The sequence below is a fragment of the Homo sapiens genome, chromosome 9 (genome assembly GCF_000001405.40).
Source record: "Homo sapiens chromosome 9, GRCh38.p14 Primary Assembly".
Taxonomy (NCBI): domain Eukaryota; kingdom Metazoa; phylum Chordata; class Mammalia; order Primates; family Hominidae; genus Homo; species Homo sapiens.
Window position 1 is genome coordinate 33,921,535 of NC_000009.12, and position 23,463 is coordinate 33,944,997.

The 23,463-nt window shown below is 47.9% G+C and overlaps 1 protein-coding gene and 1 non-coding gene across 11 annotated transcripts in view, besides 2 other annotated features; both read right to left on the reverse strand.

Moving 5' to 3' along the window:
* Positions 1-158: 158 nt before the first annotated feature.
* UBAP2 (ubiquitin associated protein 2) overlaps positions 159-23,463 on the reverse strand; it is a 127,507-nt gene continuing 104,202 nt past the window's right edge. For 9 of the 10 annotated variants that reach the window (NR_163243.2, NM_001370059.2, NM_020867.2 and 6 more), the window contains 16 exons: positions 22,831-23,105; positions 21,886-22,055; positions 20,115-20,328; positions 14,305-14,344; positions 11,956-12,094; positions 11,028-11,094; positions 6,263-6,458; positions 5,455-5,546; positions 5,083-5,130; positions 2,672-2,750; positions 2,261-2,466; positions 1,845-1,944; positions 1,652-1,759; positions 1,432-1,499; positions 1,153-1,344; positions 159-1,065 (listed from right to left, as the gene is read on the reverse strand). Coding sequence is in view for 9 of the 10 variants with exons in the window: in NM_001370059.2 (NP_001356988.2) it covers positions 970-1,065; positions 1,153-1,344; positions 1,432-1,499; positions 1,652-1,759; positions 1,845-1,944; positions 2,261-2,466; positions 2,672-2,750; positions 5,083-5,130; positions 5,455-5,546; positions 6,263-6,458; positions 11,028-11,094; positions 11,956-12,094; positions 14,305-14,344; positions 20,115-20,328; positions 21,886-22,055; positions 22,831-23,105 (2,090 nt within the window). In the remaining variant the exon portion in view is untranslated. Of the gene's footprint in view, positions 1,066-1,152; positions 1,345-1,431; positions 1,500-1,651; positions 1,760-1,844; positions 1,945-2,260; positions 2,467-2,671; positions 2,751-5,082; positions 5,131-5,454; positions 5,547-6,262; positions 6,459-11,027; positions 11,095-11,955; positions 12,095-12,519; positions 12,831-14,304; positions 14,345-20,114; positions 20,329-21,885; positions 22,056-22,830; positions 23,106-23,463 lie in introns of those variants that run through there. The other variant, NM_001282530.2, reaches the window with a different exon arrangement.
* Positions 3,582-3,821: an enhancer, noted in NCBI's record as "active region_28303". NCBI's record gives its function as "activates an Ori minimal core promoter by ATAC-STARR-seq in GM12878 lymphoblastoid cells {active_cell/tissue: GM12878}" and the evidence as "EXISTENCE:reporter gene assay evidence [ECO:0000049][PMID:35858748]".
* Positions 5,899-6,889: an enhancer, noted in NCBI's record as "H3K4me1 hESC enhancer chr9:33927431-33928421 (GRCh37/hg19 assembly coordinates)". NCBI's record gives its function as "activates a minimal SCP1, AML or CMV promoter by ChIP-STARR-seq in primed H9 embryonic stem cells {active_cell/tissue: H9 hESC(primed)}" and the evidence as "EXISTENCE:reporter gene assay evidence [ECO:0000049][PMID:30033119]".
* SNORD121B (small nucleolar RNA, C/D box 121B) lies at positions 12,763-12,841 on the reverse strand. Its single transcript, NR_102370.1, has one exon. It is a non-coding gene; the product is annotated as a small nucleolar RNA, C/D box 121B (small nucleolar RNA).

Genomic DNA, 23,463 nt, shown 5'->3' on the forward strand with positions numbered 1-23,463 from the left:
TGTGATTTGGGCCAAGAGGGTCCAGTAAAAAGGAAAACCATTTCAAGCCTTTATAGCCTGTGTCAGAAGACTATGACCATGTGGGATCTCCTTTAGCCCTGTGAAGTCCAGGGCTTCTGCCCTGAGCTGCCCTTCAGTCACACCACACAGAGACCATGCATGCTCTCAGAACTTTATTAGGTGGGGATTGGGCAAGAGAAAACCCCTGAAACAGTTGCCCACGTGGTTCAAGACAACTAGAATGGAGATGTGTTGCTTGGAGATACCTTAGATTTTTAAAGGGGAGCTGACTGGCTGAATAACTCAGATTATTTTTTTTTTTTTCATGGTCAGCCAGTCTCTAGTAAGTCTCTAGGGACATGACCAGACCAGAAGCCCCTGTTCTATATGAAGACAAACAGGTGGCCATACTTGGGTGGAGGGATACCGCTGCTATTCCCAGATGAAGATTTGGTGGAAGGAGACCATGACAGATGACAAACGGAACAGTTTCTCAAAAACAGAGGTATGAAGTAATTACACAGGAAAGAAAACAATTTCCAAAGGAGTGAGACAAGTCGTGATTCTTCATTGGTACCTGACCCCTATACCCAAACAGCCTTGAACCAGCCCTTCCAGAGACTGCCCCTAGTGGCCCACTGGGCAGTGCAGGCTGTGAAGAAGACCTGAAGGCAGATGGGGTGGGGGTGCTTATTTTGCTACAGTGGAGAAGGGGCTTGAATGGGGAGGGCAGACCTGGCTAACATCTGCCGCCATCCCCCAACTCCCCCCCAGACTTCTATCACATTTACAAATACATACATAAATACATTACATACAGTAGCCAGTCTGGGAGGCAGACTCCCCACAGAGGCATGGCTGACACATGTCGGGAATTCTAGGAAAGGGCACTGGGCTCCCAAATACGTGCTCGTGTGTTCTCTCCTGCCCAGGATAAGCCTTGCCCCAGCCCACCCCTCTCTTCTGGGTTTAGTTTGTCCAGTATGGAGAGTTGCCGTAGGCAGGTTTGGAGGCTTGAGACTTGGGCTGCAGGGAGCTGGGCTGGCTGCGCTGACCCGAGCCACTCTGAGGAAGAGGAGAAGGGAAGGCTGTCAAGGCTGGAGCAGAACCCCTGGCCCAGAGTAGGGTGGCTGCCTCCATCACTGTACTCACCTGTGCATCCTGCGGAAGGTGGTGGTGCAGCAGCTGTGAGTGGGGCTGCTGGTGGGCTGGCAAGATGTGTAGGAATGGTGGGGGTGCATAGCCAGGGGCCGCTCCCGAGGCCAGGGGCCCAGTGGAGCCCAAGACCGAGGGCAGGCTGAAAGGTGGAGGCGTCCCTGCATGAAATCCCTGCTTGTCAAAAGTCTACAGGGCAAAGAAGACAATGGTGAAGGTCAGGTTGGGCTGTAACCTCTCAAAAACCTATACACCCAACCCACCTTTGTCCCTCACCTGTGTCTTATTGTAGACAGAACCAGTCATATCAGGTAGACCAGTGGTGCTTGAAGACACTGATACTCCTAGGAGGAAAAGCAGTTGTTCCCCACAGCAGTTGTTCCCAGCTCCAGGCTCCCCACCTCCAGGATCACTCAGGGGTTGCCCTGCCTGAGAGGGGATCAGGCAGGAGCCCACCACTCCAGGCCTTATCCTGGAAAGGAGAGGTAAACACTACCTTTGCCAGGCCCAGAACCTGCAGACTTGTTTGGTGCCTGCGATGATCCAGCATAGCCACCTTTGGAGTAGTCTCCTGCTGCTGTCCCCTGGGTCAGGTCGTCATAACCTAGCGTGGCAGGGTACAAGAGGCAAGTGTGAGCCAGGCAAGCCTGTCTAACCCCATGTGTCTCTGTCTGGGAAGTACCCCTCACCTGTACTGTAGCCGTGCTGGCCATAACCACTGGCCTGCTGGAAGGGAGGTGTGGGAGTGCTGAGGTTCACCCCATGTTGCTTGGCTGAGGCTGGAGGGACCTGGGGGGGCAAGCAGATGAGGTATTAGTGTAGGAAGAGGCAAGCTGAGGCTGGTCAGGTACCCCTGCCAGAGCCTAAGGCAGCAGGTGACATACCCACAACCACAGGGGACCTGTGTTTTCATTAGTGCAACACATGCTGGATCTAAACACAGCAGGGGAAAAGTGACCTTGTCCCCAGCCTGAACAGTTTCTGAAGACCAGGTAAGACGGAGTGGAATCACAACCCTCCCTCCCTGCTGGAAGATAGGTCCCAGGTTTCCACCTGCCAGCAACCCAAGGCCAGGAGACACAGTCACACCCTCTGAAATACTCACAAACATGGTGGGGCCATACTGGAAGGCACTGGGCATGCCTGTGTAGTAGGGAAGACCAGTGTAGCTATAGCCAGGTGGCAGTGCAGGATTCACGAAGGGCTGCTGGGCTGTGTGGTGGGTCTGTGATTGGCTCTGCTGTGGCTGAGCTGGTGTGGTAGCGGGTGCAGGGGATGCAGAGTCCCCACGGCCAAACTTTGTGACATCACCTAGGAAAGAGCACTGACTCCAGCCACTGCCCTTCCTCCAACCAGAGAAAGGCCACACTGGCTTCTGCAAACAGGAACAGGTCTGGCTGCCAGCTCAGCACAGGCTACTAAGAGGCCTCTCTCAGCTTGCTGTTGCTGCTTCCCAGCTCCTGGAGTTCGCGCTAGGCCGGCCCCGGGCTACTCCTCATCCATTGAGCAAACTCACCTGGATATGGATTATTAGCTAGGCTCCCATCTCGGCTGGCAAGCGCTGTGGGTGCAGCAAAGGGAATTCCATAGTAGTCCTAGGAGAGACCAGGGAGGCTTGATCAGCGACTGGCCCTGCTTGACTCCCAGGAGAGCAGAACCAGCACATGGAAGTGGTGACGCCACACTCCTGAAACAGACTCCATGCCTGAGAGCCAGCAGTCCCAGGGAACGCCAAGTAAATGGTGCCCCTCGGAAGAGTGTGCAACTAGGCGGCCTGCCTAACACATAAGCACACAGACCGGCCAACCCTGCAGCTTCACCAGGCAGAGCTGCTGGAGACCAAGCCTCACACATCCATTTGACACCACAGGCAGGTGCTTGTGTGAATGCCTCGGGCTGAACCAACTTCGCTGGCTTTTCTGTGTGAGAGACTAGAGCAGCTAGGAAAGCTGACTAAACAGAGCAGACCTGAAAAAGGAGGCAACAGAAGTGCAGGGGCCTGAAAGGTTTAAGGGGGGACAGGGGGCAGTGCCAGGTAGGCACGGGAATAAGCAGGACCCCAGGTGAAGCCCAGAACTGGCCTGTCACCACCTACACTGCTCTCAAAACACTGACATGGCCTAGGACAAGCTTGTCCAACCCACGGCCCATGACAGCTTTGAATGTGGCCCAACACAAATTCGTCTTTCTTAAAACATGAAATTTGTTTGCAATTTTTTTAAGCTCATCAGCTATCTTTAATGTTAGTGTATTTTATGTGTGGCCCAAGACAATTATTCTTTCAATGTGGCCCAAGGAAGCCAAAACATTGGACACCCCTGGCCCAGGACTTGGGGGAAGTATGGCAGATACAACAAAGTGTGGAGACAGAGACGGCAAAGCACAGTGGAGCTTCGTGGAGGAGGGGAGGTCTGACCTGACCCTCACTCACCATCCAGGGCCTCGCACTCCTGGACACACCTGGCCCCTGAGGAAAGGCAAAGCCCTTGGGCTGTGCCCGATCCCAGAAAGGAGCCATCCTGGCTGGGAATGGCACTCACACCCTCCAGGAAACCTCCCGGAAACCCATAGCAGCCTAGAACCCCCGGAAGAGGCAGAGCTGGGAACACACAGAGCTGCACAACTGAGGACGGGAGCAGAGAAAGCCCAGAAGGGGGAGCACTTTCACAGAACACGAGAATTCTCCAGGCAGGAACTAGGCTCACAAGCAGCAGAGGTGAACAAACAACCCGAGGGATAGAAAGAGCAACATATCTCAAAAGGTGGGCTCCAGAGGGTGTTTTCTCTAAGGCACAAAGTGATAAAAGCCAAAAGAGTGCTGTGAATAAGTGTGGAGACCACGGAGAGCCCCTGAAGCAGAATGAATCCCGGGGCTCAGCACCACCTCCTGCAGTTTGGGCCTTTGGCCGGCAGATTAAAGGGCTGCTGGTTTGCACAGTGGGGAGAAGCCGCTCCGCTCCCAGGCTAGGCCTCTGCTTCTGGAAATACGGCCAGCCAGTGGAAAGGGCTACTCTTCTGAAACAAGAGCAGCTCCGTCAGCTCTTTGTGGTGCAGCAGAGAAGGGAGCAACACCCACGGGGAAGAAGGCATCACTGCACAAGGGAGAAAGCCTCTTCCTCCAGCAACAGGAAAGACTGTATCCAGCAGAGGTGGTGTCCAAACTGCCTGCAACTCTCTGACAAGTGCCCTGGGAAATGGCAGAGCAAGAAGACAGTGGCTCCCAGGAGGAAGTCCTGCCCATGGGCAGGGCAAGGAGCGGGCCTATTCCCCTCTGTCCCCACAGTTCTGTTCATGTGGCTATCCCAGGAAAGGCCCACACTGCATTCTGGCACCAACGGTCAGAAGAAAGAGGCAACCCTGGTCTCAGAGTAAGGCTGCAACCACCAGGGACGTCCCAGGGCAGGCATTCTCACAAATCTAGATGGGAGGCCAGACCCAGAAGAGACCTTAAAGACCATCAGCTCAAGCCACTCACTCAGCTGATTGCAGAAGAGCAGTCACTGGCCATCTCAGACCAAAGACACTATATGGTACTCTGAGGAAGAGGAAGACAGTATAAAACTCCAGGGCCACGTAAGCAACCTCCATGTCTTGTGTCATATGGTTTTTCTTTTTAAAAAAGAGAGAGAAAACAAGATGGAGGAGGGAAGATAAGGACCAACATTTAACAGGGGACATGGCCTACCAGGGCCCCAGGTCCCAAAGGCCTTCATGTTTCCCAGGGATGAGCACTGGATACTCTGTGCTAAAGCTATGGTCACGCCTGGCACAACCGCCAGATGAAAACAGCTTTCTCAGTAGTGGTGCTGAGAGGTTCCTCAGGCAGAGGATCCTAAGGGCCAGAGAGTGTGGCAGCCAAGACCATAAGAGGGGGGACATGTAAAAGATTCTGAACCCTCTGCTCCGACCAGTCCATACCCCACTCACCACTGGCAGCCGTGACTGCAGCATCTGGAGCTCGTCATAGCCATAGATCTGTGTGAGAACCAGAAAGTGTATTTTAGGAACCACATACCACACCCTGGGAAGCCCAGGTCCATCTAGGAGTCAAAACAAGGTTGGGGGGCTCTAACACACCCGGGAATGGGATCTGGATTAGCTGTTACGGGAACAGATCCTGCCTTCACGGAGTCTAGATGGAAGAAGACCACCAGGGCTCAGTGGGGCAGAGACGGGGGTGCTCAGGGATGGAAGGGCAGCTCAAGGTGGGCAACCTGGGCCCAACGCCAGGTTCCTGCCAGGTGCCAGCCCCCGAGGCCAGGGGAGCTGGGCAGGCCAGGAGTTCCGCCATACACTCACCGGGTAGGCAGGAAGCAGTCCTCCGGGACCTACGAGGTACTGGTTGTGCAGCAGGGGAGGCACCCCCTGAGGTAAGTTTGGGGGTGCTTTGCCTGTATAGAGGGAAAAATCAAATGGAGTGAAATGGTCACCACAAAGAGTGAGAGTCCTCAGCTGCTTCAGGAGGAGGCACAGTCACTGAGCTACCCCAGATGGGTTCAAAGAAGGGCAGTGGCCGAATGAGGCAGAGGGTCATTCTACAAAGCAGTGAAGGGGAGACAGAAAGCCCGGCCACCACACTGAGGTTGTTTCAACGTCAGAGAGTTCCGGGCCCAGACAAAAGCAGCCCCTTTCCCCCAGTCCCTAAGGTCCCACTGCACTGAGCAAAGAGAAATATAAAAAGAATCTGCCTCCTCCAAAGAGGGCAAGGAAGCCATGCAGTGCCAGGAGAGGGACAGGCTGAGTTCGAAGTCGGTTTTAGCAGCGACCATCAAATCATAGTCTGCTGGGCCTACAGACAGCCTAGGTCTGCAGTCGTGGAGCCCACCATAAGTCATCCCTGGCCCCTCCAAGTCACAATGTCAACTCGGCTCCAGGAAAGAACAAAGAGGAAAGACTGAAAAGCTAGAAGCACGCAGAGGCCAGGAATCCTGCAAGGAAGAATTCATCCCCATCAGGGGTGGGGAGATTGGGCCTCAAGGTCAGTGGAACACGCAGCGCACTCGGCGGGCCTGAGACTCTCCTGACACCTGCACTGCCTTCCTGGGACGCCAAGCAGGCACCTTTGAGGGGCTCAGGGGTGGGCAGGAAAGGCCTCTGGAGCAAATACCTGAGGTCACCAAGGGCGCGGCCCTGCTACTGCTGCTGGATGCACTCGCGGGGGTCCCACCCAGACAGAGGCTGTTCGCGGTGTTCATGCTACTGGACAGGCTGGCGCCTGAGGATGCGGAACTTGAGACGGAGGTCGCTGCCGTGGAGAAGGTGGCTGAGGACTGGTGGGAAGAGGCGCTCTCCACACTGGCATGCTGGCAAAAGAAAAGCCAGGACACATGGATCTGGAGGCAGAGGAGGAGGGTGCTGGGGAGAGCCTGGCCTGGCGCTTGGGCCCAAGTCTCAAGGCTGAGCAGGCAGGCAATGATGTAACCACCCAGGCTCCCTTAAGGTGAGAGGCTCTGTGCTCAGTGCTCACTGCGGCCCCTCACATAGCAGCTGGTTCCAGCCATCAGGATACAATACATAAACTGAACATCAAAACTATTAACATTAAGCTTTAATGACCACAACTCTCTGTAAAAATCCTTCAAGTTGCTCATGCTTGGCATCCAAAATGAGGGCATAGAAATCCCAAGATAACTTCGGATCATAAATGAACACAGACTATCTGAATATGGGACAAGTACCTACCTCAGAGCAAAGCAAACAGTCTGAGAAGAGGCGAGCACAGGCCACAGGAAGCCCAGCGTAAGTCTCAATCTTTTGGAGATTTCCCTTCTATTGGGATTCTCAGCCACTGTGGTCTGGAAACAGGAGGCTGAGAGAGGCCTTTGCTCCAAAACCTGGTGACACCTTTCAGTCCACCAATGCCTCACCAGTGCCCACCTAAAAGGGCATGGCCTGCCACTTATGCCTGTTTGACAAGGTACCCCTGTGAAGAAAGAGTGAACCAGCGGATGCTCCATCAGCCCCGAGTCCCAGAAGCCCTGCCTAGCTGCCCAACCCTAGCAACAGGGTCCTATGAAGAACTTCAAGCTCCGAGCAGGTAGGTGGGGGGCACACCTAGGTGGACAAGGCAAGTCTCAAAAAAGGGAAGAAAAGCTCTGTAAGAGGGAGACCAGTCTCCAAACCAGGACATAGAAAGCAGCATATAAACTCGTAGAAGAAAAGCCAAAGAACGGGAAGGGCCCAGGAGAAGGACCCAACCTGCCTGCGCAGACTAACTCTCCGCCGCCATCCCATGCCCACAGGTCACTACCCGCCTGGGCACTGGCTTTACAGAGCTAACATCCAGAACAGATTCACCAAGGTAAAGACAGCCAAAAACATGGTTTCCTGGGGCTCCAAGGCGTCTTGTTCCTTCAGCACAGATGGGCAGGACCAGGCCGGAGAGAGCCCCACCAGGAGCGGGCCAAAGGATGCACTGGCCTGCCCACCAACTAGGTTCTCACTAAGGAGGCAGACTCCCCACCAACTGCCACAGAAATCTGGAGCAGCTCTGACCAGTGCTCGCAAGTGTACTTGGATATATACAACCTTTTAATCTCGGAAGGAAAAATGAACATTCTCCATCGCTAAGAGATGCTCACTAGGGAACTAGGTCCTGACTTGCTGAAAGGGACTCAAGAGTCATCTGGCAAGTCTCTTCTCCCTTAGCTGCCTGACAGGGTTCCTGTCTCTGGCCCTCATCTTCCAGAACTGGGAGTACATCAACCTGCTGAATTAAAAAGTCAACACTAATTTTCAAGGCTTCGCTCAGTCCATCCAATGGGCCCTATGCAGTCAACTCCCCAGGACAGGCCCAGAGAAGTAAAGGCAGGAGAAGATGCTAAGATTTCCTTTATGTATTGATGGAGAGTGGTAAAGATATAACTACAAGAAAATGGAAGAAAATACACAGATCTATGTAAAAAAAAATCATAAACAGCAAACTTAGGGAAAAATACCTGTACTTCCCATCACCAAGGGCTCCCTAATATAGAAATAGAGACCAAAGACCTGACAAAAAAAGGAACCAAGAATATAAATAGCTCACATAGGCCGGGCACGGTGGCTCACGCCTGTAATCCCAGCACTTTGGGAGGCCGAGGCAGGTGGATCACCTGAGATCAGGAGTTTGAGACCAGCCTGGTCAACACAGTGAAACCCTGCCTCTATTAAAATAATAAAAATATTAGCTGGGCCTGGTGGCGTGTGCCTGTAATCCCAGCTACTAGGGAGGCTGAGGCAGGAGAACTGCTTGAACCTGGGAGGTGGAGGTTGCACTAAGCTGAGATCATGCCATTGCACTCCAGCCTAGGCCACAAGAGTAAAACTCCGTCTCAGAAAAATAATAAGAAATAAATAAATAAAATAAAAATTAAAAACTCACATAAAGGAAATCAAATGGTTTTCAAATATATAAAAAAAAGGATGTACAACCTCATTAAAAACTAGACTGATGGGCCATTTTTCTGCTAACATATTAAGGAAATACAAATGTTTAATAACACCATTTTGAGGATGCCATGGTGTAATAGGATATTTCATTCACCGCCAGTGGGAGGTAAACAGGGTTGAATCACTATGCGGGGCAATCTGCAAATGTGTATAAAATCATAAATGCCTTGCTGTTCCACATCACGTACTGACCCGCTACATACAGCTATACACATGAAACAACATATGTAGGTTATCAAATGCAACATTCTCTGTGGTATCAAGACTGAAAACGACCCTAAATGGACGGCTGCTTAAATAACCTTAAATAACATCATAAAGCAGAACTGTGGGGAAACAACAACAACAACAACAAAAAACCCTTAAGTTTCAACATGGAAACATCAAGATACACTTGTGGGGATACACAAGTGGGGAAAAAAAAGTTGAAGGACACTGTACATAAAATACTCTCATTTATGTAACAAGAGAAAAAGAATAAAAAGGGCAGATGATGGCCGGGCGCGGTGGTTCACGCCTGTAATCCCACCACTTTGGGAGGCCGAGGCGGGTGGATTACGAGGTCAGGAGTTTGAGACCAGTCTGACCAACATAGTGAAATCCCGTCTCTACTAAAAATACAAAAATTATCCGGGCATGGTGGTATGCGCCTGTAACCCCAGCTACTCAGGAGACTGAGGCAGGAGGATCGCTTGAACCCGGGAAGTGGAGGTTGCAGTGAGCTGAGATTGCGCCATTGCACTCCAGCCTAGGCGACAGAGTGAGACTGCATCTCAAAAAAAAAAAAAAAAAAAAAAAGCGGATGATAATGGGGAAATGACTACATGTATGCACTGCGTGTTTTGACTTTTATTTATTAAAAGGATGGAGAAAATGTAAGGGTAGAGCCAAGTAGATGAGAGACAGAAAAACTTTTCATTGTCTATCTTTCCATAACTTTTCAGATGAAATATTATGAACAAACAGTTGACCCCTGAACAACACAGGCTTGAAATGCATGGGTCCACTTACAGGCAGATTTCTTTTTCAACCCAATGCACGCATACATAATTTGAAAACACCCATATTTGGAAGGCTGACTTTTCCTATAGGTGGGTTCCACAGGGGCAACTGTGGGACTTGAGAATGTGCAGATTTTGGTGTATGCAGTGGTCCTGGAATGAATCCCCTGCATATATGGAGGGACAACTGTATTAGCAATGTCACAGTTCTGTCATGCTGACAAAGTATGGGACCCACTGGATGAGACGATTCTGGCTGTGGCAGGCTGGAATACATGGTCTGGAGGTTTTTTTTTGAGGAGATGGAGAGTGCAGCTCCCCATGAGTGCAGGAGCACTGGGCTCCCAGGCAGCAGTGGCACGGACACAGAGGACAGCTCCACGGCACTCCTGCTGAGGTCAGCTCACCACTCCCATGAGCCACAGAGGGCAGGGGCAGAGGGACAGGCAGAGGTGTCCACACTATGCTCTCCTTTGAAAGTGGCAGTTTGTGTGTTTTATGATAAAAGATTCTGTGTAAGGTTTGACTTGGAACACTAGAGTATGAAAGCCACAGCATTAGCCAGATCCAGAGGAAAGGACAGGATGTCCCTTTTCCACCACCTCACTCTGCTGGTGAGCTGCTGTCTTCTTCAGAGGACACCAAGTTCATCAGTTTCCTGCCTCCTCCATTCGTCTGCACCCTAATCCTTCCTCCCAGCCTGTGGACCTGCCTACTCCAACCTCGCCCAACACCTCCTGTTGTCCAGGAGCATGCACTTTTTGTTAATCCAGGCACCTTTCTATCCTCCCAATAGAGGCTCCAGCCTCTCTTAAGTTTTCATTGCATGCCCTCTACAATCCTCCTCCCTCCTCTCCATCTCACTACCATTCACTCCGCAACCCACCACAATCTGGCTGACTCCTACCACTGAAAGCCATGCTCACGGCTCCACGACCCACTGAGCCACACCTCAATAACCATAATCTAGGGCTACTCTTTGGCATATGAGGAAAATTAAAGCTGGCGCGCCGACTCCAGCCCTCCTGCCTGGCTTCTCGGCAGTGCATGTTTGCTTCCACTCCTGCCCTCCACCATCTAGACTCCCTTCTCCAACATTGACCTTCTTGCAATCTCTGCGTCTGAGTCAGGAAAGAAGGCACGAGGAAAGATCAAACAGCAAATTCCTGGGAGCAAGGTCACCACCTGACACTCCTGCCAATGACAGATAAGGTCTGGAGCAATGATTCTTCCCAGGCGCTACAAACTTAGAAAGCAAGATGTCCCCAGATGGTGCCCAGGAAATCAGAAGCTCGAACCAGATCATGCCATCAAGACATTTCAGCCAAGCAACTCTAGATTATCAGACACTAAAAATCAGACTGAAGCCCCAGCTGCATGTGACTAAGCTCCAGGCTCCCCAAGCATGGCGGAGGAAGAGGAAGCCGCGCAGACACTTACTGTGTGTGACGTGCTCGAGGAGAGGGCTGCATGTGCAGAGAGGCTGCTCTGGTGGCTGGAGAGCGAACTAGAAGACAAAACAGAGCGCCGTATGTCCACCTGAACAAGTGACTCCAGATGAACAAGACGCACGTGGGTCAGTGAGCTAGATTCAAACTTATCATAGTCCCTAGCACAGGACCGGCTTCAGACCCATCCTCATTCCTTATCCCCACAGAGCCCAGTGATGGGGTCCTGGTGGACGGGAATGACTCGCCATGAGGTCTGGAAAACTCCAGAGCCAGCTTCCCTCAACGACATCCATTTGCTCCTCAGATGCGAAAAGTGAAGACAGAGTTGCACTAAGAACACGGTCATCCTTGACAATCCCATTCAATCTGTGAACGAGGGATCAAAGTTCCTATGCTCAACTCCACATGCCAATTCCCATCAAATCCACTTTTGCTCCTAGCTAAAGAGTGATGGAGAACACTCCTCAGAAGACACAGGTAGCAACGCCACCCATTTTCCTACACCTTGTTCTAATAACATCGTTTCTTCAGCCATGGAAAGTTCAAGTCAGACACCTGCTCAGAAATCCATCATTCTCATTCCACCTCAGTGACATGGGCCCAGCGATGCCCAGAGAGGCTAGGCTCAGGCACCCTCTGGAGGGTGAAGACAGGTAGGAGGGAGCTGCTGGCCTCACCCTACTCCCAGGGGACCCAGTGCTCTGTGCCAGCAGAGGCGGTACAAGCAGGCAAGGTTTCCATATCTGGTGGTTTTAAGGAACAACCTGGCCAAAACCTAAGCTACAGTCGTAATGCAAAAGCCCAGGACATCACGTCAGAGACAACAAGTGTGCTCTGTTCATGAAAGCAACCTTCTACAGGAGCTCCAGGACTTGCCCCAAGGTACTTCTCACTTTGGGCCCACACCTTCCCCATACCTGCTAAGCTGAGAGAGAGGGCTGCTAGTCAGGTCGCCAGTGTGCTGGGATGTGGACGGCAGAAGTGCAGTGCAGGAGGTGGTGCTGGGCAGGGAGCTCACAGACGGGAGGGCAGAGGGAGGGCCTGTTGTCTTTGGAGCTGGAACAGATGAAGTAGCTGTAAGAAGCAGATCTGTTTATTTCTAAAACCAATCCTAAGTGCCTGAAAATATGCTCAATATCTTGTGACATGTCAGCCTCAGTTGAGACGTCCATAAAGTTACATTCCCCAGGAAAATGCCAAGCATATCGCCAGATAGCCCTTTGTCTGTCAAACAACACTATCAAAGGACACCACACCATGGTCAGCTGTTCAAGATGCAGCAAAGAATAGGAAATGACACCTTTATAACCCAACCTATCCTATATGGGGACATACTTTTCACACCTAAAGGAACCTAAGCTGTAGATGCATCCAGAAAGAAAAACAGGTGCTGAGCCTAATATGTAGAATTATAACGTGAGGCAAACTCCTCAAAGGGCACAGCAAGGGGGAGTAAGAAGCTAACAGGCAAGACCACCTACACGTGCTTCCGCCAAGTCAGGCTGACTCTACCAATGCTCACGGCCAACGTAAGGCAGATTGGGGTTGATGCCTATGTTGTGGAGAGACACAGACACCTAACATCTGCAGTCCAACTGTCCAACACCTACTTCCAAATGCACAGTGAGCATTTCCTTGGTATGTGCTTGAATAGATGTATCTCAGAGCACATAAATGAGCTTCGTAGGCTTCAGAAAGGATGTGGAGACACTCAGTCCTAGCTGTGGAAAGACTCAGTCTCAGTGCTGTCCACACATACAACTCAGATATGTGCTTGGAAATAAAACATCATTGTCTTTTCCAGTTAGGAAAGAGGAGCAACCTTGACCCTTCTAAAACCCAGGGAAAGCACTTGAGTCTCTAAAGGAAGGGCAGGTCAAAAACAAACATAAGCAATGAAAGGGTCAACTTACACCTAGGTCAGTTCTTACAGAGGCCTTCTTTTTATTGGCAGTCTCTTCCATATATAAACCTTGTTCATAGATAAACTGTATAAAGACACCACAGATACACCTCACCTAAAACTAAGACCCCAAAACATACCGCCCTGGGCCTTGTATTATGATGCTAACAGCTTCACAGGAAGCCTCTCTCAAACAAACAAACAAAATGGGGAGGGAAGGGGAGGAGGAAGTGAGGGAGAAGAGAGTATGGGAAATGAAAAGTAGGTTAATGTACACTGCTTCCCAGATACTTTAGTTCTCGACCCATGCCTAGACAAAAGAAACCTGCCACTACCACTGCTAGAGTCAAAAGTTCCTCTGTCATCCAACAAGCTCAGAACGACCAACGAATCTCCAAACAGCCTTGGCAGCCCAACAATACCAGCAAATGTCAAACCAAAATCCTGGGGCTCCAAATCTGTCATTACAGTTTCAACTGAGGCTCACCTCGGTCTGCTTAAGTTCAATATCCGCACTCCCAGGAAATCCTATTTAAAGAGTCTTTCTGGCTTCCCCACCCATTTGCCTTCCTGAATAAAGAAAGAAAACTACTATAAACCATCAGTCAAGCTGGCCAACTACAGAAAAGAAGCAATTAACGGATTTACCTGCACTATCTTTGGTAATCACTGAGCTGTTGGAAGTGGCGGGGGGGGGGGGTCTCATTTTCTCCCAAATGTCCACAGTGAACATTTATCTCTCTTTCTAAGCAACAGTCCTTCAGGTCCTAAAGACAATGAGCCTATCTTTCCTGAACAAGAATAGTAAATTTTTGATTTAGAAGTAGTTTCTTTCTTTTTTTTTTTTCTTTTCAGACGGAGTCTCACTTTGTAGCCCAAGCTGGCTCAAGCGATTCTTGTGCCTCAGCCTCCCAAGTAGCTGGGATTACAGGCACGCGCCGCCACCACACCCGGCTAGTTTTTCGTATTTTAGTAGAGACAGAGTTTCACCATGTTGCCCAGGGTGGTCTCAAACTCCTGAGCTTGGGCAATCTGCCTGCCTTGGCCCCCCAAAGCACTGGGATTATGGGCATCAGCCACCCCGCCTGGCCCAAGCATCTTTAAAATGCATACTGTATGCTGCACTTGTGGTGCAGTCTGATTAGGGCAGAAGAATATGAGACCACCACCTCCTTCTTGCTGTGGTTAAGACATTTCTAATAACACCACAGCCAACACCTGGTCCAAAAACAAAAAAGCAAAAGGGCTGCTTTTTAACGAATAAGCCATTGACCAACTGGTGTTTTCCACATCACGTGAGCTATCCTCTTCCTCTGTTTGGTTGGCACCAGCCATGACAAGAGTAGCTTGCTGCTATACTTACTGTCTAGTGTCTGCTGACTTCGACCACCACCATGTCCATTCTATAAGGAAAAGAAGAGAAGAGAATATAAACTTACAAAATGAAATCATTACCTGAGTGGCTTTTTATACTTTCTACAACATGTAGCTTAATCAAGAAACAATTATCTCTTTTATTCTATTTTTTAATAAAGGGAAGATAAACAACAAACTCTCATGCAAGAACAAAAATGTTCAAAAAAATTTTTTTTCACATCCCCAGGTTCAGGTGATCCTCCCCCTTAGCCTGCCTAGGAGCTGGGACTACAGGTGCATCCTACCATGCCTAGCTAATTCTTGTATTTTCTGTAGAGATGGGGTTTTGCCATGTTGACCAGGCTGGTCTCCAACTCCTGGGCTCAAGCAATCCTCCTGCCTTGGCCTCCAAAAGCACAGGATTACAGGCATGAGCTACCACACCCAGACCCAAATAATTTTTTTTTAAAGGTAACTTTTTGAGATGGTGTCTTGCGCTGTCACCCAGGCTGGAGTGCAATGGCGCATCTTAGATCACTGCAAACTCCATCTCCCAGGTTCAAGTGATTCTCCTACCTCAGCCTCCCAAGTAGCTGGGATTACAGGCGCGCACCACTACACCAGGCTAATGTTTGTATTTTTAGTAGAGATGGGGTTTCACCATGTTGGCCAGGCTGGTCTCAAACTCCTGACCTCAAGTGATCCACCCACCTCAGCCTCCCAAAATGTTGGGATTACAGGTGTGAGCCACCATGTGAGCTGACATTGCGCCACTGTACTCCAGCATGGGCAACAGAGCAACACTCCATCTCAAAAAACAAAACAAAACAAAACAAATAAATAAATAAAGGAGACAATACCACTATAGATCTCAGAAACATTAAAAGGACAGGAAAGAAATACATTGAAGTTTTATGCCAGTAAATTAACAACTTAGATGAAATGGACAAATTCCTTGACATACACAAACAGCAAAAGAAACTGAAGCACAGTGGCCCACACCTGTAATCCAGCTACTCAGAACGCTGGAACAGGAGAACTGCTTGCGCCCAGGAGTTCATGACCACCCTGGGCACTGTAGCAAAACTCCAGCTCAAAAAAAAAAAAAAAAAAAAAAAAAACAGTCTGAATAGCCCTCTACCAATTGAAGGAATTGAATTTACAATTACAAAACTCCTTGCAAAGAAAACTTCTGGCCCAGACAGCTGTACTGGTGAATGCTACTAAATATTTAAGGTAGGAAGGAGAACAATCCAACACAAACTCTTTCTAAAAAATAAAGTGAGACTGGTGGTGATTCAAAAAAAAAAAAAAAGTGAAAATTATATTGCATGGTAGCACATCAAGAACTAATGTCTAAAACCAGGATGGAAAATCAACAAGTAGCAATATACAGAGGGAAAAGTCTGACAAAGGTTCAATTTAACTGCGTCTGGGGTGTAAATAAGTAAAATTATCTAGCATGTAGTTGAGAATACATAGTATCAAGTTGACAGGGGATGCAGTGGCTCACACCCGTAGTCCCAGCACTATGGGAGGCCAAGGAGGACGTATCATTTGAGGTCAGGAGATCGAGACCAGCCTAGCCAACATAGTGAAACCCCACCTATACTAAAACTACAAAAATTAGCTAGGTGGGGTGACACACACCTGTAGTTCTAGCTAGTCGGGAGGCTGAGGAAAGAGAATCATTTGAACCTGGGAGGAAGAGGTAGCAGTGAGCCAAGATCGCACCACTGCACTGGGCGATAGAGCCAGACTCTGTCTCAAAAAAAAAAAAAAAAAAAAAAATTAAGCTGGGCACAATGGCTCATGCCTGTAATCCTGGCACGTTGGGCAGCTGTGGTGGGTTGATCACCTGAGGTCAGGAGTTCAAGACCAGCCTGGCAAACATGATGAAACCCCGTCTCTATTTAAAAAATACAAAAAAAAAAAAAAAAATTAGCCAGGTGTGGTGGTGGGCGGCTGTAATCCCAGCTAGTCAGGAGGCTGAGGCAGGAGAATCACGTGAACCCAGGAGGCAGAGGTTGCAGTGAGCCGGGACCGTGGCACTCCAGCCTGGGCAACAACAGCAAACCTCCCTCTCAAAAAATAGATACATATATTTACACACACTACATTACACACAACTACATTGTGTATAGTTGTTTTGGGGGGTTTCTTTTGTTTTTTTGTTTTTGTTTTGAGACAGTGTCTGGCTCTGTCACCCAGGCAGGTGTGCAGTGGTGTGATCTCGGCTCATTGCAACCTCCGCTTCCTGGTTCAAGCCATCCTCCCACCTCAGCTTCCCGAGTAGCTGGGACTACAGGTCTGTACCATCACACCTAATTATTATTATTATTTGTAGAGGCAGGGTCTCATCATGTTGTCCAGTCTGGTTGTGAACTCCTGGGCTCAAGTGATCCACCTGCCTCAGTCTCCCAAATTGCCAGGACCACAGGCTCGCACCACCACGCCCAGCCACTTTTTGTATTTTTTGTAGAGACAGAGTTTTTTGTCATGTTGCTTAGGCTGGTCTCAAACTCCTGACCTCAAGCAATCCACCTGCCTCCACCTCTCAAAGTGCTGGGGTTCCAGACATAAGCCACCATGCCCAGCCCAACATGATTGTTTAGATTATGTAAGAAATGTTACACGATAAGCTTCTCAAAAACTTATGTTGAAACAAAAACAGCTTGTCATTGGCCGGGCGTGGTGGCTCACGCCTGTAATCCCAGCACTTTGGGAGGCCAAGGCAGGCAGATCACCTGAGGTCAGGAGTTCGAGACCAGCCTGGGCAACATGGTGAAACCCTGTCTCTACTAAAAATACAAAAATTAGCCAGCATGGTGATGGGTGCCTGTAATCACAGCTACTAGGGAGGCTGAGGCAGGAGAATCGCTTGAACCCGGGAGGTGGAGGTTGGAGTGAGCCAAGATCACGCCATTGCACTCCAGCCTGGGCAACAGAGCAAGACTCCATCTCAAAAAAAAAAAAAAAAAAGCTTGTCATTGAAATTTCCATAGTTCACATGGTTTTTCTTGTTTCAGTGCCCATCTGTCAGGATATAGACTCTAACTTATTTCTGTCAAAGCATCTCTGAGAAGGTAATTTTAATCTGTGGATATTCCAGGCTGTGGAAGGGGAAGAGAAAAAGGAAGGGAGGATGATCCATCCAAGACGGACAAGGGACACAAATATTTTTCTAAATGTTTAGTTGAAGGGAATGATGAAAAGACAAAACATGGAAAGCTCCCCATTTTACTCAGTTTATATGTTCCAAGATTCTATTCCTGTTTGTGATTTTATGTCTCATTAGAGGTAGAGTGGCATAATCTCAGAAAACATAGCTTAATAACATTATTTGATTTCCTATGTCTTTTTTTTTTTTTTTTTTTTTTGAGATGGAGTCTTGCTCTGTCACCCAGGCTGGAGTGCAACGGTGTGATCTCCACTCACTGCAACCTCCTCCGCCTCCCAGGTTCAAGCGATTCTCCCACTTCAGCCTCCCAAGTAGTAGCTGGGACTACAGGCACGCACTACCACATCAGGCTAATTTTTGTATTTTAGTAGAGACAGGGTTTCACCATGTTGCCCAGGCTGGTCTCGAACTCCTGATCTCAGGTGATCTGCCTGCCTCAGCCTCCAAAAGTGCTGGGATTACAGGAGTGAGCCACTGCGCCCAGATTCCTATGTGTTTTTAATGCTCTCAGCCATTTGTGTGCTTTATAAGACAAGATTCCTTGAGACTAGCCTGGGTAACATGATGAAACCCCATCTCTACAAAAAAATTAGCCAGGTATGGTGGCATGTGTCTGCAGTCCCCACTACTCGGGAGGCTGAGGTTGCAGGCAGTTGTGATCACACCACTGCACTTCAGTGGGTGACAGAGCCAGACCCTGTATCAAAATGAAGAAGAGAAGGAGAGGGAGGGAGAAGGGGGGGAGGGGGAGGGGGAGGAGGAAGGGGAGGAGGAAGGGGAGGAGGAAGGGGAGGAGGAAGGGGAGGAGGAAGGGGGGGAGGAGGGGGAGGGGGAGGAGGGGGAGGGGGAGGAGGAGGAGGAGGGGAGGAGGAGGAGGAGGGGAGGAGGAGGAGGATGGGGAGGAGAAGAAGAGGAGAAGGAAGAAGAAGAAAGAGGGAAGGAAGGAAGAAGAAGAAAAAATAAGGTAGGAGGGAGGAGGGTGAGGAGGAGGGGAAAGAGGAGGGGGAGGGAGAGGAGGGAGAGGGAAGAGAGGGAGAGGGAGAGGGGAAAGAAGAAGAAAAGAAAAAGAAGAAAAAAAGGAGGAGGAGGAAGAAGGCCACGACGACAAGATTCCTTAATTCAAATGCAGTTAAGACATCGGATGCATGCAGGCAGATTTAATATGGGAACCACCACAGTGTCGTTTCTTTGGCTCTAGAAAGGCTTCTTCCTAAACTGGAAGCATATCTATACTTTTCTCAGCTGCCTACACCAAGTAAGATGCTGCAAATGTGTGTGTGAGGGTGTATACACCCTAGGAGGGGTTCTTGTGGGGCAAGGGCTTGGATTTACTCATAGGATTATCAAGTTCCAGCACTGTTAATAAAAATTGTTGGCTTAAAAATTTACTCAGAAACCTTGGACATACAGAGTTGTTGAGCTGAAATCCTAAGCTATCATGTCATATTTACAAAATAATGTCAAGTGATAAAAGGAACAAAGAGCCCAGTGTAGTGGCTCACCCTATAATCCCAGCACTTTGGAAGAAGGCCAAGATAGGTGGATTGCGTGAACCCAGCAGTTCAAGATCAGACTGGGCAACATGGTGATACCCCGTCTCTAAACAAAATACAAAAGTCAGCCAGACATGGCAATGCATGTCTGTAGTCCCAGCTCTTTGGGAGGCTAGGGTGGGAGGACTCACTGAGCCCGGGAGGTCAAGGCTGCAGTGTGCTGTGATCGCGCCACTGGACTCTAACCTGGGTGACAAAGCAAGAACCTGTACTCCCCCAAAAAACAAACAATCCACAGAATTGCTCACACTGAATGCTCACATATTAATTTTTAGCATTTCTTATCAATAAAGTATCTTTAATTAAGATATCCACATTGTAACTTTTATATGCACTAGGAAACCAAAAAATTAGCGCAACTTTCTTTATTGCAGTGGTATAAAACAACCTGCAGTATCTCCAAGGTATGCCTGTAGTGTCATCCATATTATTTTAATTTCCTGGGACAGAATGATGTTCAAGTATTACTAGTGTGACATGAAATGTGTATACTTGTTCTTTTTTAAGTTTCTTTCTAAGATTCTCAGGAGATATTGGTACATCTCAACTTAACAGAAAGCAATACAACTGGCAATGACCATCAGATATGCAGTTAGCAAGAATCTAGAAGGGTAAAACTTTAAAACTATATCAAAAATAGATCTGGTTCCTTTATCTATAGTCCAGTATTATTAACAAAAACTAGGTAGAAAATACATAATTTTAACACAAAAATACCTAACAGTGATGAAGAAGCAAATACATTCAAAGCAAATGGGGCAATCAGAGAGAAAGCAGTACATGAAATATTCAGAGATATTTCAGACAATGTAGAAGTACCCAGTACTACAGCCAAAGTGCTCATACTACACGCATGCTTGGTTTTCTCCACAAAGTGTATGAACCTGCAGATCTATCCACACACTCAAGAGCATGGGTGCTAGAGATGCCCACTATAAACAAACTCAATGAACTATAAGGATTCTACTCAAAAGGTTAGTCAATTTGTAAAATAAAATCATATCCAAGAAGCATAATTTAACCAAACATTAATTTCCAAATAAGACGGACATCTTCTGAGAAAAAAACTAAAATACCACTTACCATGATGGTTCCTGGAGCTGACTCTGATGAACTCACAGGGCTTTGGTATGGGATCCTGTTATGCACAGAACTCTGGTCATAAGAGGAAGACATTGCTACTGGACTAGCAGAATTCAGTGATGAGCTTGTCAGACTGCAGGAGGTAATGACGGAAGTTGTATATGTGGAGTTCTGTACTGCACTGGTCATTGATAAAGATGTATTCAAAGGCTCACTGAAAAGAGTCAAAAATATTCAACATAATTTTGTTACTTTAAATAGCTTCATAAAAAAAAAAAAACATAAACAGCTTCACGAGATGCAACTACTGCATCAATTTATTATCCCAAATGAGACCCACCTAATTTAACTGAGAGATAGGGGGACATCTTTAAGAATACTTAGGCTGCGTGCGGTGGCTCACGCCTGTAATCCCAGCACTTTGAGAGGCAGAGGTGGGCGGATCCGGAGGTCAGGAGATCGAGACCATCCTTGCCAACATGGTGAAACCCCGTCTCTACTAAAAATACAAAAATTAGCAGGGCGTGGCAGTGGGCACCTGTAATCCCAGCCACTCTGGAGGCTGAGAAAGGAGAATCACTTGAACTCGGGAGGCAGAGGTTGCAGTGAACCAAGATCGCGCCACTGCACTCCAGCCTGGCGACAGAGCAAGACTCTGTCTAGAAAAAAAGAAAAAAAATAAGAAGATTCTTTAAGGAATCCAGGTGTTTGAGACCATCTTTAAAAAGGAAACTTAAACAAATATCAGGTTTTGCCTCTGGAATGTGAAAAAACTAAAACAACAACAACAACAAAGTCAGCCAGGCCGGTGGCTCATGCCTGTAATCCCAGCACTTTGGGAGGCTGATGCAGGCAGATTCATTGAGCTCCAGAGTTTGAGGCCAGTCTGGGCAACATGACGAAACCCTGTCTCTACAAAACATATTTAAAAATTAGCTGGGCATGGTGGTGCACGCCTGTAATCCCAGATACTCAGGAGTCTGAGGCAGGAGGATCATTTGAGCCTGGGAGGCAGAGGTTGCAGCGAGCCAAGCATGCTGCTGCACTCCAGCCTGGACAACAGAGCAAGACCCTATCTCAAAAAAAAAAAAAAGAAAAGAAAAGAAAACTAAAATCTGAGATTTTGTATTTATAAAATATTCCACTGAAGGAAAATGACTGCTGCAAACATGTGGAGAAATTAGATCCCTCATAGACTACTGGTAGGAATGTCAAATGCTACAGCCACAGTGGAAACAGTATGGGAGTTTCCTGAATGGTTAAGTTACCATATGACTCAGCAACTCTACTCCTGGGATATACATCCCAAAGAACTGAAAGCATGCAAAACTTGAAACCAAATGTCCATAGCAGCATCATTCACTATAGTCAAAAAGAGCAAACAACCCAAATGTCCACCAACTAATGAATGAATAAAATGTGGTATTATCAACACAATGAAATATTTGGCAATAAAAATGATACATTAAACATGGGTGTACCTCGAAAACTTACACTAAGTGAAAGATCAGACATAAAAGGCCACATATTCCAAGATTCCAGTTATATGAAATGTCCAGGTAGGCAAATCCAGAGACAGATTATTGGTTGCTAAGGGGCAGGGCAATGAAGAAACTGAGACTGTCTGCTACAGGTATGGGGTTTCTTATGGAGATGATGGAAGGTCTGGATAAACACTGAGGATAGCTATTACCACAGGATGTATTCTTTTCCACCAGTTGATCTCTCTTAGGGTCTATTTTGCTTCATAACAAAGGACTAAATTCAGTACCTTAAAGACTTCGAATACAAGCTGATGGGAATCTGATTACTATTTTCACTGCTTGGAGCTGATCCAAATTCAGAGAGAGAAGGTTCTGACCCAAATTCCAGAGCCCCAAACTGCACATTTAATCCTGTGACATCTGCTGAACCAGGCATTTCCACTGCAGAAGCTGGGATCTGAAAAAGCAAAGCTGTCGTGTCAGGAACAGAGGTCACAGATTCCAGGTCACAAAGGCCTATAACAGAGCCAAACAAGCATTTAGGTTCCCAGGCAATACTGGCAAGAAGAAGGAGTGAGAAACAAGGAGAAAATAGGCTAAGACTTTTCTAAAAAGAGAAAGAAAAAAAACAAGCTAAGAAAAATTAAAAGTTGGCTGGGCATGGTGGCTCATGCCTGTAATCCCAGGACTTTGGGAGGCCAAGACAGGAGGATCATTTGCACCCAGGAGTTCAAGACCAGCCTGGACAACACGGCGAGACCCTGTCTCATTTAAAAAAAAAAAGGAGAAATTAAAAGTTAAACAGGAATGGTTGGCATTAATATCACCACCTGCATCTAAGAGCAATGCGGGGGAGTTGTGATGGTGGGTGGGAAGTGAACACTGAGCTGACTACTCTATTTTTGGGGACTCACCAATGATGAAAGTATCACCTGGTCAAGGAACCATGCATCCTCCAACTATGGGATACAGCAAAACCCTCAAGAACAACAGTTCTCTGAGCCAGATCTTCAAATCTGTACTTGAAATAAGGATCTGTGGCTCTCAGCACAAACCCATTCCCTCTAATACTAGTCTGGTCACTCAGAAATGGCCATATCCTTATTATGCAATCAATAAGCTATGTGCTTGAAAAACACTGTACCCCAGTTTCCAAAACTTAGTATCCCACTAGAGCTGAATGTAAAAATAATTCCAGCTTTAGGACGGTGACTTCATGATGAAATGCCCACCTTAGAAGCTGGGGGTATCCGCCGCTTAGCAAGTTTGATGTGTTTGGGCTGTGGCTGGTGGACAGACACAGAGATATTTTCAATGGTCGTGCTGGGAAGCTGCAAAAGCTTGTTCACAGTGGAGGGACTGTCTCCAGGTGTTGATTCTCGAAGTTTTGCCTGGGAAGGAAAGGACTCCAAACCAGGAGGAGGAACAGTGACTGCCTGGCTCTGGTGCTGTTGTCGCTGGCTCAACTGGCTAAGAACTGGGGATGGCTCAGGTTGAGATTTGAAGTCTAAAAAAAGTAAGCAGCAATTAATGAGGCATAATGGCTTCACAATGTTCTTCAATAGAACATGAAGTGTTCTATTACCACCAATTTCTCCAAATCATTTCCAGTTGAATTTCTTAGGTTTTACACACACTATGTGTAACACTTCATTTATGATAAACGGGAAAAGTTCCTAAATGGGTACACACCTTGTTTCCTATCCAGAGAGATTTGGTTTATGTTTAAGCATAGGGAGTGATGAACTCGTGAGAACAATATTATGGTGCTATACACACCTGACCATTAGCTAACAGAGAATCATACTTTTATTATTTTATGGATTTTCTACATAACTGTTAAAAATTTGAGCCAGGCACAGTCA